Genomic DNA, 21,054 nt, shown 5'->3' with positions numbered 1-21,054 from the left:
ATACACCTACTATATATCCACAACATTTTTTAAAAAGTTAACAATTAAAATATAATGCATTAGGAAAGGCTAATTTATTGCAGACAGAGAGGTAAAAAAGAGTAAATTCTTCATGCATTCCATATTTTTTTGGGTTTTTTTTTAGAGACAGAGTCTTGCTCTGTCACTCAGGTTGGAGTGCAGTGGCATGATCTCGGCTCACTGCAACCTCCGCCTCCTGGGTTCAAGCAATTCTCCTGCCTCAGCCTCCTGAGCAGTTGGGACTACAGGCACGTGCCTGGCTAATTTTTGTAAGTTTATTATTTTGCTGCCTCAGTTCACAACTTCTATTTAGCCACTACCACAAATCACTACCAATTTTGTTTCAGTCATTATCATATACCTATCAGGTAAATTTCCAATCATTCTTCAAGGTCCAAGGAAAACTTCACCAAATCTGTGACATTGGCATCCTCCTACTCACACAATTTCACAAATACAATAAAATTAACTATGCTTCTTATGTGTCCTCATAATTTTTTTTTTTTTTTTTTTTTTAGGCAGAGTCTTGCTCTGTCCCCAGGCTTGAGTGCTGGCAGTGCAGTGTTGCAATCTTGGGTCACTGCAACCTCTGTCTCCTGGGTTCAAGCAATTCTCTTGCCTCAGCCTCCAGAGTAGCTCGGATTGCAAGCATGCGCCACCACACCCAGATGATTTTTTTTTTTTCTATTTTTAGTAGAGACAGGATTACACCTGTCGGCCAGGCTGGTTTTGAACTCCTGGCCTCAAGCAATCCACCCGCCTTGGCCTCCCAAAGTGCTGGGATCACAGGTGTGAGCCACTATGCCCGGCAATCATAATGTTTTGAATCAATATTTATTGAACACGTGCATTAAACAGTAATCATATATAAATACTATAGAAATATTCACACAATACATGAGCATTAATGGTAGAACTTGAATTTGAAATGGTATATCTCTCCCAGAATAGATATTCATTTCCAATTGCCTGAATACCTTCATTTGTGTTTTCCATGGTCAGATCAATTAAATATGTCCCACGACAAATTCATCATCTGTATTCACAAACCTACTCTTCTTCTTGGGTCTTCTGTGAAAATCCACATAATCTGCTTTTTAAAAACATACATATGATTGTGTAATTCCTTTGCACAAATCCCTCTGATGGCCCCATGTAACCTTCAAAGCAAAGACTAGATTCTTCAACAGAGTTTTCCACACATGGTCCAACTTAAACTTTTCAAGTATATATCCAGCAATTATAGAGCACTCATGTTCAGAGACTTTATGTTCCCTATTTCTTCCCTCCGTGGTGCACACCACCATTTTCTCTGTAAAGTCCTACTCGGTGTTCTATAGCCAGCCCAAATCTAATCTCCTCTGAAACCTTCCTTGCCATCCCAGGTTGGTTACCTGGAAGAATTGTCACCTTTCTGATCCCACAGCCCTTTGTCTATACCTAGTAGAATACTGAATGCAAAGTTTAAACTAGATAAGCAAGTGCCTCAACCCAATTGTTAAATGATAAAATCACTACGGTCCAGACTAACGGTGAGATTTGTATCTTGGTAGCAGCCAACTAAGTTCTCCCTTAATGTAGTAGAAGGATGCTGACATACAGGTTTATTGACTTGATTTCAGATAAGAAATTGAGTCCAATCTTTTTCTTTTGTTTACTAAATAATATTATTATTATTATTTCAGTGATTGTTTTACTGTTATGGAGATACAACTGTGGCTTCTGAAATCAATACCAAATTAATATTCTCATACATGAGAAAGAAGGAAAATGGAAATCTGCCTTTCTAGCACTGTGCTACTTTATACGACATATTTAAAAGAAAATCTAAAAAAAGAGATACCCAAAGAAATAAAAATAAAGCAAGTAATTTGCAAGAAGACAATTCAGAAACAGACAGAAAGGAGCATAGAAATAACTGTGTGAGAAGAAATTAATTCAGCCAACATCATCAATATCATCCAACCAAAACTTATCTGAAATTTACTCTACATTGAGTCTGCCTACTCTTATTAAGTTTTAATAAAGTAGATAATCTTTAGGCACATATAAAATCATTCCAATGATATCATTTCATAAAGAACTGCATTTTTTATGAATTATATTTTAAAGCTCATTATAAGCTATCAAAGAAGAATAATGAACTAAGGCAGATTTTTAGAAGTTCCGATCAAAATAGATTTTACTTAAAAATTCAAACAAGTTCAGACTCTGAACTTGTGTAAAATATAGACAAATTATAAGTCAAGATATAAGCAAAAAGCCCAACTATGTGCAGGTAATCATTTTAATAAAAACTCTTAATTTAAATCTCTTTAAATTTATATTTTCCCACAATCATTAAGATATAAGATTCAGATAAAGTGTCTATTTTCACCTTAGAGTACATTTTTTTCTCATAAGAACTACATGAAAATGTGAAAACCTTGATTCACTTACTCCAAAATATTTTATATAAAATTCAACAAATATTTAAGAATCTGTTTCGTATGAAATACACGATTAGATATGGGAGTACACTGTTAAATAAAAGATATATATGTCTCTAAAGTCTGCTATTCTATAGCATTTACCTCATTTTACTGCATATTGACTACCAAAAAATGTGGAGGAATGATTATATCACCAAAATTAAACCCTAAACATTTTGACCAGCATTACTAACTTCATAATAAAAAAATGCTACTAGTATAAAACTAAAAGGTCACAATATATGTAATAATTGTTTAATAGAATATATAGACAGCTAAAATTTACTAGAACATTATCTCATTCTAACCTTAAGCCCAATTTTCTATATAACTATCTCAAAATATTTAAAGTATTCATTAAAAAGGAAGCTTAAAATTTTAGAATGTTATATGCATTTTTGAATAGCATTTTGTGTATTGAATATTTTATATGTAAAACTAATTCTGGAAATAAAACTCTGCTCTGGGTTTATAAAATAGTTGCCACTTGAATATTCGTCTGAAGCCCTTCCAGACTTCACCTACAGACCACAGCACCCTCGCCCACTAGTAATGAACTGCCTCCAAAAATTATCTCAACATAATCCACATTATCTCATTCTAACCTTAAACCCAATCTTCTATATGACTAGCTCAAAATCTTTAAAGTATTCATTAAAACGGAAGCTTAAAATTTTAGAATGCTATGTGTATTCTTGGATAGCATTTTAATGCTATTAGATTGAATATATTATATGTAAAAATAATTCTGGAAGTAAAACCTCTGCTCTGGGTTTATAAATTAGTCAGCACTTGAATATTTGTCTGAAGTCCTTCCAGACCTCACCTATAGACCACAGCACCTTCTCCCACTAACAGTGAACTGCCTTCAAAAATTATCTCAGCATAATCCATGAAAAATACATCACATTATTTTTTTCTCTTTATATGGTTGCCATATATGAGAGACTAAACCTCAAAGGCAGCTAAAAGGAGAAGCAGGAGAATAAGGAGGAGGAAAAGGAGGCTTAGTTAGAACTGCTTCATTCTAATAGGGGAAAGCAGTGGTGGTGGTGGTTGCCGGGAGGAGTAACATAGGAACCGGGCAAAACATAGATGAGTAAAAGATAGAAAACACCTTGTGTTGCAAAAGCATAGCAGCAAAGTACAATTTAAAGTAAACTTCCCAAAAAGAAGTTTGCTGCTGTTCTCTTAACTCCAGTCTCATCTCAACCCAATCCAATTACCTCAAGATACTGCTATGTGACAAGTACTTCTTCAGCAATGTCTCCAATGACCCCAACCCAGTGGCCAATTCTCTGTACCATCTTATATAACCTCTCAGAAGCTTTTGAGAGTTGACCCTGCCCTTTTGGGAAATACTTTCTTCTATTAGCTATTATTGGATTACGAATTCTTCTTAGGCTATATTACTGGATTCTCATCTTTATACAAATATCTAAATCTTGGATTGCCCCATGGCTCAGCCCTGAACCTTCTTTCCTCTATATTTTCCAAAATTTCCTGCTATCCCATGGATTAAACAACTGTCTTACATGATGAACACTCTCAAATATATCACTGGCCTAGAGTCATCCCCTGAGAAGACACTATTCTAGAAAATTGCTTAAATACTAATGCCAACAGGTATATATAATAATCTTTTCAAAAGAAATCCAACATTATGGTTAACAGGGAGTGATCTAAGTTAGAGATGGGAGATGTTTATAACAACCATTGTTATAGTTTAAGTGCAATTTAATAAAAATTAGACAAACAATATAATAAAGAGCCAAGATCATTATTAGCAGATGGTCTGTCTTTATGCCCAAGATTTTAAAAATTACAAATGCATTTAAAGGAATAAAACATTTTGGCAAGGTATCTTGTGACAAAATTAACATACAGAAATGAAAAAATTTTTATGTGCCAACACTAACCCAACCTAATATAATGGAAAATTGTTTCATGTACAAAAATATCAGCAACGTAAAATAAATGAACTTATACAACTTTGCATATAAAGTCATAGTGAAGGCCATAGGAGAAGACTTATAATTTTTAAAAGGACATACTTTCTTATTAAGAAGTGTCTGATTTTTCCTGAATTAATAAATCAATATTGTACCAATCAAACTCACTGAATGTTTTCAAGTTGATGAAATGATTCTCAAATTTGTCTGAAATAACAAGTATGGTAATATTCAGAAATACTTTAAAAACAGAGTCTGTGTGTATCTATGGAAAATAAGTGGAGAAATGTCATAACAGGTAAGCTGAACAATGTAAAATGACTCTTTTTATAAGTCAAAAATAGTCAGACGTCATCAATTTTATATTATTCAACCAAATAAAATGTCCTCTAACTATAGTAAATAAAGTGTTTTACTAGTGAAAAAGGAAGAAAGAGGAAGAGAGAAAAAATGTTAAAGGATATGCATGCACTTAATAATAATAATTGGTTGGTGCTAATGGTAAACATTTTAAAACCTTCTATTTGGATTAGGAATAAGAGAAAGATAAATTTATCTTTTAGTTCTATCCAACATTGCACTAGATGTCTTTGTCGGTAGAATATGGTAAGGATAAAAAGATGACATAAAGAATTGAAAGAAGGAAACAAAAATTACTTAACCGAAAACTGTGCATGTAGACAATGCAAAAACTACTAACAAATAATATGGATTATTAAGAGAGTATATTAGTTGCCCTATAGCAAACATATATACAAAAATAAATCACATATGTATATGCAGCATAGACAAATGAAAGCTTTGAGATTTAAATGTGAAGAAATACTGTATGCTTATTATTCAATATTGTTAAAATACCAAATATCCCCTAATTGATCTATAGATTCGATGTAACTACAACCAAAATCTTATCAGGATTTTTTAAAGCTTAAAAGCCAATTATGACATTTATACAGAAATGGAAAGCACCAATAACGAAAATACTTATGAACAAGAAGGAGGTAGAAATACCTTTTGAAATAGATATCAGGGCTTATTTTAAAGGCACAGTAATCATAAAAGTTGGATTTTGGTGGAAGTGGAGACCAAGTAGAATAGAATAGAGAATCCAAAAACAATTCCTTGCATATACAAATACTGGATTAGGACAAGGTGACACTGAAAAGCAACAAAGGAAAGATGACTTTTCACATAAATGGTGCTGGAGTAAGTAACTAAAAAAGAAAATATTAACCATTTGAATTATAATTAGGAGCTCTAGTACATTAGAAAATAAGAGAGTGAAAAGGTGAGCCACAGAATGAGAGATGATATCAGTGACACACATATCTGACAACTGTCTCATATCCAAACTATTTAAAGAACTCTAACAACAACAACAACAAATACATACAATCCATTAAAGACATGGGCAGGAGATCTGAATGGGCACTTCAGCAAATGGGATTGTATGGCCAGTAAATATATGAAAAGATACTCCTCCTCTTATTCACATGGGAAATGCAGACTAAAACCACAAAAAGATTCTGCCCCAACCCAATCAGATTAGCAAAGATTTAAAAACTGACCCTAATAAGCATTGGCAATGGTTTGGAAATACAGATAAGTCTTTTGCAGAGGGTGAGAATATAAATTGGTAGAATATTCTGGGGACCGTTTGGCATTATCTAGTGAAGTTGGCATGCATAATCTAAGAATCAGCAATTTAATTCTTGGGTAAGTTCCCTAGAGAAAAAAGCATACACATGTGAACCAGGAAATGTTCCAGAATAATCATAGCAACATTATTCTTAGCAACTTCAAAGGAGAAATGCCCCAAATGTTCATCAATTACGGAATACTTACATATCAGCTATATTCTTAAATGAAACACTATAGCAATTAAAAGAAAGAATCGCAAATACATTCAACGTAATGCCTGAGTCTCAAGAACATAATGTAGAGTGCGAGAACTCAGTCATAAAACAATGCATGCTGTTGGATTAATTCCAAAAAAGTCACGTCTAACTATCACACTGTTTGGGAATATATATCTAGGCGGAAAACTTTAAAGACAGGTATAGAGGTGATTACATGAACATGAGAATAAAGGTTATCTTTTTAGGGAGAGGGTATGCTGATTTCAGAGAAGTGAGAATGGAGCTTTTAGGATTCTGGCATTCTTCTATTTCTGAATCTGGGCATGTGATTACTTTATATGATTCATAATGCTATAAATTTATGTTATATACTTTTCTGGGCATAATGGATTATTCAAAAAATATGTTTGATAAAATTGGTGAGCCATGTTTCAAAAATATTCATTTCCTTTACTTCACTCCTTACAACTAAATACGTTTCCAGGGGTTTCAACATTCAAATGTAAAAGTTTAAGTCATAAAACTAGACAAGAATATAGGTGAGAGTTTTCATAACACTTGGGTGAGAAAACTATTCTAAATATGACACCAAATCAGAAATATAAAGGACAATATTAATAAATTTGACCATAAAATATTCAATATTCAATTTCTATAGAGCAATGAATAACCTAAGACTAAAATATAAACAATAAACAAGGACAAAATATTTGTACAAACAATATAGACACTAAGAAAACATTACTATGTGTATAAGTTAAAATAAAAATAACTAATAATAAATGAGCAAAAGAAAAATGAACTGAGGGCAAAAATGGGTTATTCACAATAGAAGTAATATATATTGATCATTGTGAACATGAAATTACTTTTGTCTTTTAGTAAATATGATGGAAATTAACTGCAAACTTGAAATAATTACACTTTTAGGAAAGTTACCGTGTTCATTGAAATACTTGACATTTCTGAAATCTTTGTTACTAAATTTTACTTGATATAGCCTGGAAGAAACTCTCATTCACAGTTTTTTTGGAATGTTATCCATAAGATACTGCAAGATTTATATAAACAAAATACTATTATTTTAATACTAGAAAGACAAAGTCGAACTTTTCTTTTACTTATAGGGTAAGTCAGTATATCTAAAGTATAAGACAAAATGAAAAAGAGTAGCTTGTGACCTTTATAAAATACAGATTGCCTCATTTGCATTATTACAAATAGATTAAAACTTTAGTAGTTTCATTGGTTCACATCCTGATTAATTGCTGGAGTGTAGTTACAGTAGAAATAATCAGAGGGTAAGAGAAGAAATGGAAAGGTCATCTCTTGTTCCACAATCTTTTATTTAACTATTGTCTGTCTTATTTTTTAATAGTTAAACATTCATGGATGACTCATATCTGGAAGCACTGCCTTATGGAAAGTTGTCAACTTCTGGTAGAGGTTAATTTTCTAAAACTGGTATAAGGTAAAGATTGTGAAATTGTGAAGTTTGACATTTGTTTTTCAAGCTATATTCCTCTTCTTCTTTTCTCTCCTTCTCTGCCTCTTCTTGATCCTCTACTCCCTCCCTTTCCCCTCTGACTATTCTCTCCCAACACACACACACATATACACACATGCGCACATGCGCACACCCACACACACACAGACACACACCACCTTCACTCCTTCCCTCTTTCTTCCAGGTTTTTCTTTTCTTCTTGGATTCCTCTTTTTTCATAATCTCAACCACAACCAATATCTCAAGCCTTAGACTTTGACATCTCCTTCCCTCACTTTCTTTGATTTTCTCGCTTTAAGGTCTCACTTCCACATGACACAGGTTTCAAACCAGCAGGGACTAAGTTTCTAGATCTTGGATGGGGAGACAAGAAGACGAACAAGACAGACACAGTCGCCCACTAACCTCATGGATTGACAATCAAGAGAGTCCTCAGATAACTAATTCAGGAAAGTCATTATTTATTCAGGACCAAGTACATCTCTTCTGCATGACCACCAGTAACATTTTTGCACATTTGTGAAAGGGTGAAAATCTGTAAACTCAGAAGCCACAGGGTAGATGCCTGGACTTGAACTGCTAGTGTTAAAAATTGTAATCACCTTCAGAAACCATGACTGAATATGCAACACGCACACACATATGCACACAGGCACACGCACACACATACACATACGTTTCTTCCCTATATGGTCACATTTAAAGTGTTCCGCTGAAGAATACTAACTTCCTTCTAACTACCCCACATAGAGAACACACATGTTCTTGCTGAAGAATAGGTTTAGCAGGGCTCACAATCTTAAATGTCTGCATTACTTTGATCATTCCCCAGACACATTTTGACTATCAACTGTGGGGTAAGTATCATGCTAGATATTGAGATACAAAAGAAAGAAGGATGTTTTAACACTTTTACTAGCAGGGGAAATTAAGGTAAAATGCACGTGCACACAGGGCCTGCAGGGTTAGAGAAAGGTTCTGGCAAAGATAATGTGGGGTTGAGTCTTAATGTGTTTGTTTAAGTGTCTAAAAGGGAAATACACTTTGTGGCACAGGTACAATTAAAAATGTGGGCTCTAACTTTTAATAGGTCTGGATTTTAATCTTGGTGCATACACAACTAAATGTGATTCCTTGGAAGAATAAGTTAAACCTCATTTATTGTGGCTGCATAATGGGAGTAAAAATAATACCCATAGCACAGGATGATTGTAAGGGCTGAATGTTATAATGTGTACAAACTACACAGTACAGGGCTTGGCACATAGTATGTGTTCAACAAATATTAGATATTATTATCATATTTTAATAAGTAAAACACAGCTGGGAGGCTTGGAGTTCAATTACTCACATACAATTTGTTCACTTCCTTTTTCATTGTACTTTTCTATGAAAAAAAAAAAAAGTGTATTCCCGACCCAGAATGAGATGATTTCAGGAGAGCACTGTATCATCAAATGCACCTGCTGGTGTGGTAACAGTAGGCACACTCTCCATGACCTTATTTTTTTTTTCACTTTTTAAAATGATAAAAACCACACTTGCAGTATGTGCTCAATAGTTGGGGAGTAATTAGAGGCTCACATAAAACAGAAAATAGATTAGCACTTTACTAACATAGTCCTTCTTCGCCTAAAATAATAGGTTTGCCATAGCAACCTGATTGCACTAGAGAAAGCGCCTGCCAAATGCATCCTAAGTTCCCTTGCAATTTCTATGAGAAGGAATTAAACACTTGAGAACTATAATATTCTGTGCCATTTCAGCTAAGTACAAATATTTTTGTGCGAATACAGTAATCTTCCTTCAGACATTTGAAAGTGAAGAGGCACCCTCACCTTCCATTTCAAAACAGCCAGTAAAACTTCATATAATGCAAGCCACGTTGACATTACAGATCAATCGTTAGCCAAGAAAAAGTTGCTCATAACTTTAAAATACAGATAAATGTCGATTCTTCTATTTGTGTTTTCTTAGTACACAAGGATTAAAGTAATCAGTCATGGACTATGTGAGGAACTAAGACATTTAAGCAAATTCTGTACTAATATAATTTTCTCTTCTCTGTCTTAGAGTGTCTAAAATTGAAAATGGGAAGAGAAGCGCCAGGCCACACTCATCTCTAAAGGTTTTCCAAACCATAGAGCAAAACATCACAGAGGAGGTCATTTAGGATTCTAACAGATTATCTCATTATTTGAACCTTGAGATGGCTTCTACAACAACACCAAAAACTATTCAAGATTCACCTTTTTCTAACAAAAACGCTATAAATTAGGTAGTAATATCATACTCATATACAAAAGTAATTCTGAAACTGAGTGACAGGTCCAAGTTTAAAAAGTCAGTGAATGACTGAGGTAGGAAATGTAGAGCTGAAGTTCTTAACCAGTGTAGTCCACCATGAAGCAGCCCATGTAAATTAGAGTAAAAATCTCCTTTTTTCTAGCTGGCAAAACCCATTGATTGGTCATCAGGCAGTGCCCTGCTTTCGAAACACAGTTATGGATTTCTGAATACATAAGTCCTATGAAATACTGGCTGATCTTTGACATTGACTTTAATGATTTCATTCCAGATTGTAAACAAACACACTCAACTGTAATTCACCATAAAATTACTTTATGAGATAAATGCTGAAGGACACACACAGGCAATCAACGTCATGCACCAGTGAAAGAAAGTGTTGTCGTTGATATAATCAGATAAATGTTTCTATAGAAAGTGTTTCTCGGCCAGGCGCGGTGGCTCACGCCTGTAATCCCAGCACTTTGGGAGGCTGAGGAGGGCAGATCACGAGGTCAGGAGATGGAGACCATCCTGGCCAACATGGTGAAACCGCATGTCTACTAAAAATACAAAAAATTACCTGGGCGTGGTGGCACATGTCTGTAATCCTAGCTACTTGGGAGGCTGAGGCAGGAGAATCGCTTGATCCAGGGAGTCGGAGGTTGCAGATCACACCACTGCACTCTAGCCTGGGCAACAGTGAGACTCCAACTCAAAAAAATAAAAAAAAAAATTAAAAAAAGTGTTTCTTGAAGATGAGTTTATTTGGGGAGGAGAAAGGAGTAGGGTAGAATCAGGCTCTAGTCACTTTGAACTTCTTGGTACTAACGCTTTAAAACATTAAAAAGTGGGCCGGGCACAGTGGCTCATGCCTCTAATCCCAGCACTTTGGGAGGCCAAAGCAGTGGATCACCTGAGGTCAGGAGTTCAAGACTAGCCTGGCCAACATGGTGAAACCCAGTCTCTACTAAAAATACAAAAAATTAGCTGGGTGTGGTGGTGAGCACCTGTAGTCCCAGCTACTGAGGAGGCTGAGGCAGGAGAACTGCATGAACCCAGGAGGCAGAGGTTGCAGTGAGCCGAGATCGTGCCACTGCACTCCAGCCTAGGTGACAGAATGAGACTCCATCTCAAAAAAAAAAAAAAAGTCTCAGTGAATCTGTCACTTCCTTAATACACATTTCAGAAGTGCTAATTAAACTGTTTTCTTCCCAAATCTGGGATAATTAGCAAATATATTTTACAAATTGAACAACAAAATCAATAGAAAAATACATAATATACTTTCCTTCACAAATAGGCTTATCTTTTAAAATTAAGAAAAATTCACCATAAAACAACAGTTTCTTCTAGCTTATCTTTTTATTAGTCTTTGTTTTTGACTCTACCAAAATAAACTTCCCCAAGTCGCAGACATTAGAAAGAATATTGCATACATACGAGTTTACACATATGTGAGAATGTATGTACATGCGAATTTGGGATGATGCAAATTCATGTGAGCAACTTATCCTCAAATAGTTTATGCAAAAAAGCTCTTTGTACTATTCTTAAGTCTTCTAAGTTTGAAATTATTTCAAATAAAAATAGTTTATAATTTAAAAATACATAAGTAAAACTATATATAATTTATGTAGTTAAATGGTATTTTCAAAAATAAGGTCGTATCAATAATCATGTATACACCTACTCACACATTTTATATCCAATTTTGGAAAACAGTTTTTAGCATCATATTCGGGATGTAAGCCATTTTTATCTATGAAGCCGTGTCAAACATATGCAGAACCTGGGAACTGTATAGCCCCAAATGCCAGAAACATAATAAGCTTAAAGTTTAAGGATGTAGTAAATTTGCTTTGACTTTGCCATTTTACAGCACATTCATCATAGGCAGGATTAATAAGTAAGAGTTACAGAGAAGTAGAGTTTAACATACTATAATAAATAGGATTCTACCCATGAGCATTGTCCTGAATGGAATGGATTAGCATAAGGGGGAATACATTTCTCCTCCCAGATGGAAGTGAAGCCAGGAAGTTCATATTTCATAAAGGTTGGTCGTTTGTGCTCTGGAGTCTGAGACCTACGAGAGAATTCCCTATCTACCACTTATAAGTGCTATAATTTTAGGAAATAATGATCCTCCCTATTTCCAAAAATTCAAAATTAAGAGTATCTACATAACTGCCTTTAAAGAGGCTGAAATAGAAATCTATTTACACAAGTACTACTATTTGGATTTTCTGGGTACCACTGTGATATGAGGTTGTGGTACAGTGTCTGAACAGCTTTAAAAATTCAAGAACTATATAACCTAAAGAGTAAAAGCCTTTCACAAATAGACCTACACATATTATATTTTTGTATATGACAGTGGTATATAGTTTTTTCACACCTAATATGTTTCTCATTCTAAAATGAATTTCTGCTTTCTTCTTTTTCCCCCTCTGCCGACAATATGTTTCAGATAACTTATGGTTTCTCTATTAAGTAGTGCTAATTATTTATGTATTTATATATTTAGAAAGAGAGTCTCGCTCTGTCGCCCAGGCTGGAGTGCAGTGGTGTGATCTCAGCCCATTGCAACCTCCACCTCCCAGGTTTAAGCAATTCTCGTGCCTCAGCATCCCAAGTAGCTAGGATTACAGGCATGTGCCACCACGCCCAGCTAATTTTTATATTTTTAGCAGAGATGGAGTTTCGCCACCCAACTCCTGGCCTCGACTGATCCACCCACCTCAGCATCCCAAAGTGCTGGGATTACAGGTGTGAGACAGTGTGCCCAGCCAGTAATGCTACTATGCTTATTTAATTTAATGGTAATTTAAATAATATCTTATACGAATATCTTATACTGACATTATTCTTCAACCGACTCCTTTTCCACTTTAAAGTCCTATTGGAATTTTTGTCTCTGTTGTAAGAAATAATTTTTAGATTACCAAAAATCCAATAAACAGTATTAAGTAAACCCAAAGGCAACCAGGATTTAAGTGGCCAAGATACTAGAGAAAAGAGGACCATTGGAAAGTGACTTCTACCTTCTATCCAAATAATCTCTTTGATGTATTTGTCACTTCCGAAACTATTTGGGGCAAGAGGTTGAAATGCCAAGCAGAAAACAATATCTAAAATATGAATAAACTAGGCAGAACTTTTGGCTTTTTGATCTTGCTGCAAATACAGTAATTGGAACACAGCAACCTTCAAGAAGGAGGTATTGATAAACATTCCATAAACACCACAGATTTTCACTTTAGATATTATCTCAATTCCTAATTGGATATATATCTATATCTATATTTATATCTATATCTATATATCTGCCAGAAAAAAAGTAAACTGTCCCTCAAGGAAGATCATATCATTTACAAAATTCTACCGATTTTGATAAACAATGTTTAAACACACCAAAACCAACAACAACAACAAAAATGCAAAACAAAACAAAAACAGGTATGTCAAGAGACAGGACAGATTCACTAAAAATAAAAGAGAAAAAAACAGACAATAGAAAGAGATTAAAAAATGATGCAGGTAACAAACTTAAATCATCAGTCATTGACTAAAATATCTATTACTTTTAAAATGTTCAAAAAATATTACTGTGTGGAGAAACTCACTAGACAATTATCTGTAAAAAACAAATAAAGTGGAAATTCTGAATTTAAAAATACAGTAAAATTAAAAATTGAATAAGGATATTCGATGGTAGACTAGACACAGAAGGAAAGATTAGCAAACTGGAAGATAGGATAGTAGAAAATACCCAGATTAGATAGGGAAGAAAAAGAATTGGGGAAAGGAGCATAAGAGATACATTGGACTTGAAATTGTATCTCATGCATCTAATTGGGTTCTCAGAAGGAGAAAAGATAGAATGAGGCAGAAAGGACATTTGAAGAAATAATGGATAAGACATTTACACGGCTATTATTGGATGAAATATCCCACCCCTAAATTTATATGTTGAAGTCCTAATTACCAGTACCTCAGAGTATGATTATATTTGAAGATAGATTCTTTAAAGTGGTAATTAATGTTAAAGGAGATCATTAAGGTGACCCTAATCTTGGTGACCTTACTAGAAGAGGAGATTTGAACACACACATTAAAGAGAAGAGATCATGTGAAGACACAAAGGGAAGGCTATGTACAAGACAAGGAAAGACGCCCTTGGAAGAAATCAACCTTACTTAAATCTTTGTCTTGGATTTCTAGCTTCCAGGACTGTGAGAATTAAAATTCTGTCGTTTAAGCCATTCAGTCTTTAATAATTTTTTTGACAGTCTTTGCAAACTAACACAAATGCCAAACTAATTCAAACTACAGATCTGAGACATGGAACATAAAGAGAATAAATAAAAAGAAATCCACAGAGACATAACACAGTCATGACAAAGTCAAGACAAAGAAAAAGGGAAAAATTTTTACAGTAGTAAAAGATAAAAAGATGCATTACTTTCAAAGGAAAAAGCAACAAGACTGATAACTGAATTACCAAAACAAATGGCCAAACCAGATGATGATGAAATGGCATTTTAAAAATTCTGAAAAAAATTGTCAAATTAGAATTCTGTGCATAGCAAAAATATCCTTTCATTTGAAGGCAAAAATCAGAACTTTTCCAGACAAACAGATACTAACAGAAGTTGTGACCAGAGGAGCCTATCAGAAGAAATGTTAAAGAAAAAATTTCTTCACATATTAGATAAAAGATCAAAAAGAGAAAGAGAAACACTGAAGTCAAGAAGCAAATAAAGAAAAACAAAAAGCAAATATAGGGTAAATCTAAGTGAAAAAATTCCATAAAAATAAGATGAAGTTAAACTAAATCTAGAATGTAAATATTATGATACTAGAATAGCATGGATACAGAAATAACATAAAGACATTAGGAAAAGGAGGTTACAAATCAATCTCATGAACTTTGAACCCAGAAATATACAAAAAAATTTATATAAGTAGATTTAGTCAAGGAATAGAGGGTTGCTTTATCATTTTAAAATCAAAATAAATAGTACCTTTGACAGAAAAAAAAATTATCTCAACATATATACTCTATATTAGACAATATTTAAAATCATTCATAAGAAAGAAATAGAAAGTAACTTCCTTATTTTGATGAAGGTAATCTAAACTAAATTTATATCAAACATCATATTTAGAAGTATAATATTGAAAGGTTTCATCTTAAATAACAGAACAGAGAGAGGTTCTCCAAAGATAGTAAGTTTACTCAGGAACACGCACAGCAATGCAGAACATGTCATAGTAAACTATGGAAGTACTCAGGGTGGCAAAAGAAGACAAGGGTTTTTAAAGGTAAAGTGAGGAGGGTTACATGAGTTATTTTGAAACAGCTATTCTTAGTTGCAAGGATCAAAAACAAGTCTGACATTAGTCCAAGGTTAGACAAGCAGATATCCTCACAGAAGCGTGTGCATGCACGCGAGTGTGTGTATGTGTGTGTGTATTAGGTTGCAATGGCTTTGTATATGATTGTAGTTTTGTCAAAGTCTTATTATCAGGCAATTGTGCATGAAAACGCTTTCTTCATGGCCTTTCCTGGCTTCATTATGTCAGTGTCTGACACAAGTGACTTCATTTTGATTCAGACAACTTTCACATTTGCCCCTTTTGATCAAAATACGTCTCTAAAACCATTGCTGACTAATCATTCTGTGGTTAGATTTTCATCATCCATCAGTGCCAGGATGAACTTGTTCTGGGTAACTCTGATCCCATGTCAGAGGGAAGTGATTGCTGATTAGGAGTCAGTATGAAACCCTTTAGCCACATTTGAGCATCAGGAGTTCTGTGGGGAGTGTTCGTTGTTAAGTCCAACTTCATCAGTTTCATAGACAAGGGTTATCATCTCAAAACTCTGAGCCAGCATTATTCTCTCAGGAGTTGTACTTCTGCTGAAATTTGACAAGCAATAAGTACAAAGTTTATAAAGAAAAATACAAAGTAAAATTAATAGTAATAGGAAAATTCTAGTTTATGTAATAATATTGAGCCAAGAACCTAGGCTTGAAAGCAACTGACTGAATCAGCCAAATGACCATGGGGAATTAGGTAAGTCCTGTTGTAACTATGTGGCCTATTTTCTTGAGTATTTGCATCACAACTTGCCCAAAGGGGTTTATCCAGGTACAGCATGTATTATTGGCAATAGCACAAATATCTCCTTATTTAACCAATAGAGAATCTAGAGCAATTCTATCATTTCGTATCTTATAGCTGGGTTGAATTAAAACACAGAATGAGCAACAGTTGTACTAGAGATGCTGTTGAAGTTACCCATTGGGCAGGCTAAGGGCTTATCTGTCAGGGCATGTAAATATTTAGGATGGGCATGACAGATGCAACATTTTTTACAGCTTCCTGCAGAAGCTATTGATTGTGAAATTTTAACTATACCATTATCCTGCCAAGTGAAAAAGGTAGGCACAAGCAAGGAAAAATTAAGAGGGGCAAGAGTCTCATTATGATAAGGAATCTTATTTCAATGTCTTGGGAAGAATTTTTCCCAGCATGAAATTGTCAACTTCTCACCCTGGTTTGTGGTTTGAAGGTCTCTGGTTACAGCATTCGACAGTTTGGTGAACTTGCCGTGTGGCTCAAACATCAGGCACAAGTCTTGTCCCTTGAAATTTACATCAAATTGTCTAGCTTCATTCTACGCGGGTTTAGAAAAGGGTGGTTTTGTTCTCACTAATTTCATGAGAGAAAAGTGGATTGGAGGAACCTACAAGTGAAGTGGCATCATTGTCTGGGGTAAATACCTGGGGTTGGTCATTTTGTGCTGAGAAGATTAACAACATGGACACGCACACATGGAATGGGTTAAGGAGCGGAAAGTTTAATAAGCAGAAGAAAGGGGAGAGGAGAGCAGCCGTCTCTGTCTGTCTCTTGCCAGAGAGAGGTATCTGAAAAGGAAAGACCTGCTGGTGGCAGAGTGCACTGGATTCTACAGGCAAGCTTGAGAAGGCACTGTCTGATTTATGTAGGGCCCACAGATTGATTGGATCAGGTGTGACATTTACATTGTGTGTGGGAAGGCTGGTCGCCCCACCCTAATCTTATTATGCAAATGGACTTTCCACTTGGCCAGAACCATCTTGTCTGCTCCTTACTGTACGTGTGGCTGGCAAAGAGAGGATGGAGCTGCCATTTTGAGCCTGCCTATTCCCAGGTAGTTTCTTCCTATTGGCACAACTGCCAGCAATAGGCTGCTCTTCGTAAGAAAAGAAAATGATTTGGGGGCTGCTTTTCATTAAAAGGAAAACCTTACTGAGGACTCCCATATTCTCACTATCTGCCTAAGTAATTTCTTCTTAACTCCTATATCAGAAGAATTCAAGATCCAGTCTAGTCTACAGATAGATAATAAAAACTAAGAAACTATGCACAGGGCCAACATCTAACAAGTATATTAGAGTTTTTCTTTAGAAACATAATTTTTCTCTCTACAGTCATCCCAATCTTTACTAAAGATAATGAGAATAAGATTAATTTGTTTGTAAAATAAGTTTAATTTTGTCAAATGTGACTGAATTATTTACATAAATGTAGCAAGAATAGTGATTAAACATATAGTAATCTCAGATTGGACCCTTAAATATCTCTTGAGACTAAAAAGTCAAACCAAGGCAGGCTTCAGGTTTTGTCTGTAGTACCTATAAATAACTTAAATATCACATCTCAGTCAAAACCTTTGTAATATAGCCAATATTTCCAGTTCTATTCTGTTATAAAGAAAGCAGATTCTTATTGAACTTACACAAACATATATACTGCCATTAAAAAACATAAGAATACTCATGTAGTTTCTGAATTTTGATAGGATCAAATAGGGATAAAAAGTAAATTTTTCCACTTTAGTTTACAAAGGTATACTTTTGGCCGGGCGCGGTGGCTCACGCCTGTAATCCCAGCACTTTGGGAGGCAGAGGTGGGCGGATCATGAGGTCAGGAGATCGAGACCATCCTGGCTAACACGGTGAAACCCCGCCTCTACTAAAAATACAAAAAATTAGCCGGGCGTGGTGGCGGGCGCCTGTAGTCCCAGCTACTCGGGAGGCTGAGGCAGGAGAATGGCGTGAACCCGGGAGGCGGAGCTTGCAGTGAGCCGAGATCACGCCACTGCACTCCAGCCCGGGCGACAGAGCGAGACTCCGTCTCAAAAAAAAACAAAAAAAAACAAAAAAAAAACAAAGGTATACTTTTGTCAAATAGCTGTAAATTATAATTAGCTTAAGAGGGAAAGTTTCCTTAAATCTGCAACTGAAACGTTTTAAGTAAAGAAACAACAATGTTTCAAATAAAAGTCATAAAACATCATCTTTGTTAGTTATTTCACTTCATGTAATTAATTTTTGTTCTGCTTGATTTTTGTTAGCAGTTTCATGAATGTATCAGTTTCTTTATCAGAGTTCTGGAAATTTTCGCTTGGCCTACTGAGTTTAGTGTTATCAGAAACCTGTAAGCAAGAGTAATTACTGGAGTCTTTTCTAGGCATCTGAATGCACATGTGTTTAGAGAAGAAACAAAACTGTAACAGTAGATGACAAAGATTTAGAATAACTATGGTTTAAAAATCTGATGAATTTGAACTCTGCAGGGTTCATTATAATAATGACAAAATTGATGAAGAAATTCGGTTATTTCTATCGCATGTAACATTTTAAGATAACAACCAGAATTATGGTTGACAGCATCCAACCAGAGCCATCAGACTTCTATAAATTTTACATAATCTTTGGAACATTCACATCAATAACATATTCATATAAATATAACTTGAAAAAGATTTGGCATCACTCTATTATTAGACAATGCTTACCAGACAACCCAACATATTAAATAAGCCTAATTCGTTTAATAACTCTTTCATAAGATGAGAGACACATCCTTCAGAATTTCCTGACTAGAAATTCCCAAAGTTAATTTGAAGTCAAAAAGACTTAATTTAGAACTTTGATACTGGGGAAGCCTGCCAAAGATGTCAAAAGGTTTAAAACATTTAATTAAAACAGAATCACATGTCATCATGAAATAATAATTATTCACTTAACTAGAGTGACAGAAAATGTCAAAAATAAATACAGAAAATTACAAGGATGTAAGAAAACTTTAACTCTTTCAAAGCTCAGTTTCCCTCACTAATGAAAAACCTAGTAAGACAACATAAAGCATAGGGAATTATCTTGATAAAACACAAAATTTTTGTTTCTTAGGCCCATCATCAAAAGGTTTAAGAAACACACAAACACGAACCTCCTGCAGTGTGATTGTTGTCTGCTTATGGAAGTCCATTTAAATAACCTGGAAGTTGAACCCAATGAAAAGATACCAGAATTCTCTAAGACACTGGAATTGTCTGCCCGAGGTTATGAGTGCACTTCATATCATAGAAGTAAACAAGAAAACTAGTACCTTGAGCAGGGTAATATGTGGCTCTTAAAAAAAGTAAAAGCATGCAAAATTGCCTCATTACATGGAACAATTCAGACACATCAAGAAAAGCCAAGAGAACAGATCAAGTTATCCTGGAGGAAGACATTGCTCTTCTGGGCCTTCAAGACATTTTCCAGCATCAGACCACAGTGGCAGAGTAACAACTGGAGGGGGAAAAAAAGGCAGTAGGAGCTGACTAAAAAGTCAATGGAGAGAGTCACAACTTTAACAATATGAAAAGATGTACCTCTGCAGGAAGAGAAGGAGGAAGAGCTAGAGGCAATGATGTATGACCTGCAAATTATGTGCAGTGAGATGCAATGAAAAGTTGAACTTCTGAGACATGAATCTGAAAAGCTTCAAGAGGAAACTCCAATTTGTGAAATTAAATTGGTATTTTAAAAGAAGAACATAGCAATTTTAATCTGGAATTGGGAAAAAATAAATGAAAACTGTAAATTGGGCAAAAGATGCAGTTCAGAAAATGATTGAAAATTAAAAGAAACAAGTTTTACAATTAAAAATAAAAACTTTCTGCAAATTTCACTGAGAGCAGATCAATAATCCAAGAAAACTGTGTTGCTTTAAACACAGAGGACTAGATTCTGGTTTTGTATCAGTATAGTAATGTTCAATTTTAGAAAGAATTGTAAACAATTCTCTTCTAACTTAAGCCAACTTGATTGCACACAAATTCCTTTCATAAGATTATACTTTACAAACCTTTGCATTCTCCTCAGACCTTTTACGACTTGATTAAGCTTTCAGTTTTCTCCTATATTTTCTTCTTTTTAAATTCTACCTTAGCACAAACATTTATTTTTCTTATTTCCCTTTATCATTCTGACCACACAATATTATTTTTCATATTATTCACTTTCTGCTTTTAACTTCTTTACCTAAAAACACTTCCTCATAACCTTCTTTGCATCCCTCTCACTCCCCTAATTATTGGCTTCTTTTTGCTTTGTTGTTATTTCTTTTAATACTTTGAAATAACCCTTAGACAAAATTATTCTTCCTTCCTACCAAAATTTAAATATTTCCCATGCTTATACTTTTTTTTTTAACGAAAAAGGTATCTTACTTCCTTGTACAACTTACATATAGAATTACATATATTAATTAAAAGGTTTAACTCTTTGTAGCTTTAATTTCTAGTTAAAGCCTAGGAGGTAAGCATTTTGAACTATTTGTCATATAGCAACAGCTTATGAATATACATCTTACAACTTCTAGGAATGTGTGCTTCCTCATAGAACAAATTTTTAATGTGAAACATGATATAATTTTTAATAGATCCAAATATATTGTGTTTTCCTGTAAAATTTAAGAAGCCAAAATTAAATAAACATGAACCTCTGATCAGAAATTAATGTTTATTATTTTATCTTATTTGGAAATAATCCAGTTTATGAATATTACTTAATTCAAAATAACATAATTTTAACATCTGAAATTACATGAAAAGTTCATTTATACACATT

At 34.4% G+C, this 21,054-nt stretch overlaps 1 protein-coding gene across 4 annotated transcripts in view, besides 1 other annotated feature; it reads right to left on the bottom strand.

Moving 5' to 3' along the window:
* The window catches only part of ITGBL1 (integrin subunit beta like 1), a 268,182-nt gene that overhangs the window by 31,108 nt on the left and 216,020 nt on the right, over positions 1-21,054 (bottom strand). The gene's annotated exons all lie outside the window — the stretch shown is intronic.
* Positions 709-940: a silencer, noted in NCBI's record as "fragment chr13:102341159-102341390 (GRCh37/hg19 assembly coordinates)". NCBI's record gives its function as "represses an EF-1alpha promoter that drives an FKBP-Casp9 reporter gene in an ReSE screen in K562 erythroleukemia cells {active_cell/tissue: K562}" and the evidence as "EXISTENCE:reporter gene assay evidence [ECO:0000049][PMID:32094911]".

This window comes from Homo sapiens, chromosome 13, assembly GCF_000001405.40.
Source record: "Homo sapiens chromosome 13, GRCh38.p14 Primary Assembly".
NCBI classification, from domain to species: Eukaryota; Metazoa; Chordata; class Mammalia; order Primates; family Hominidae; genus Homo; species Homo sapiens.
The sequence above is the reverse complement of the archived record's forward strand: the minus strand, read 5'-3'. Positions and strand labels throughout refer to the sequence as shown.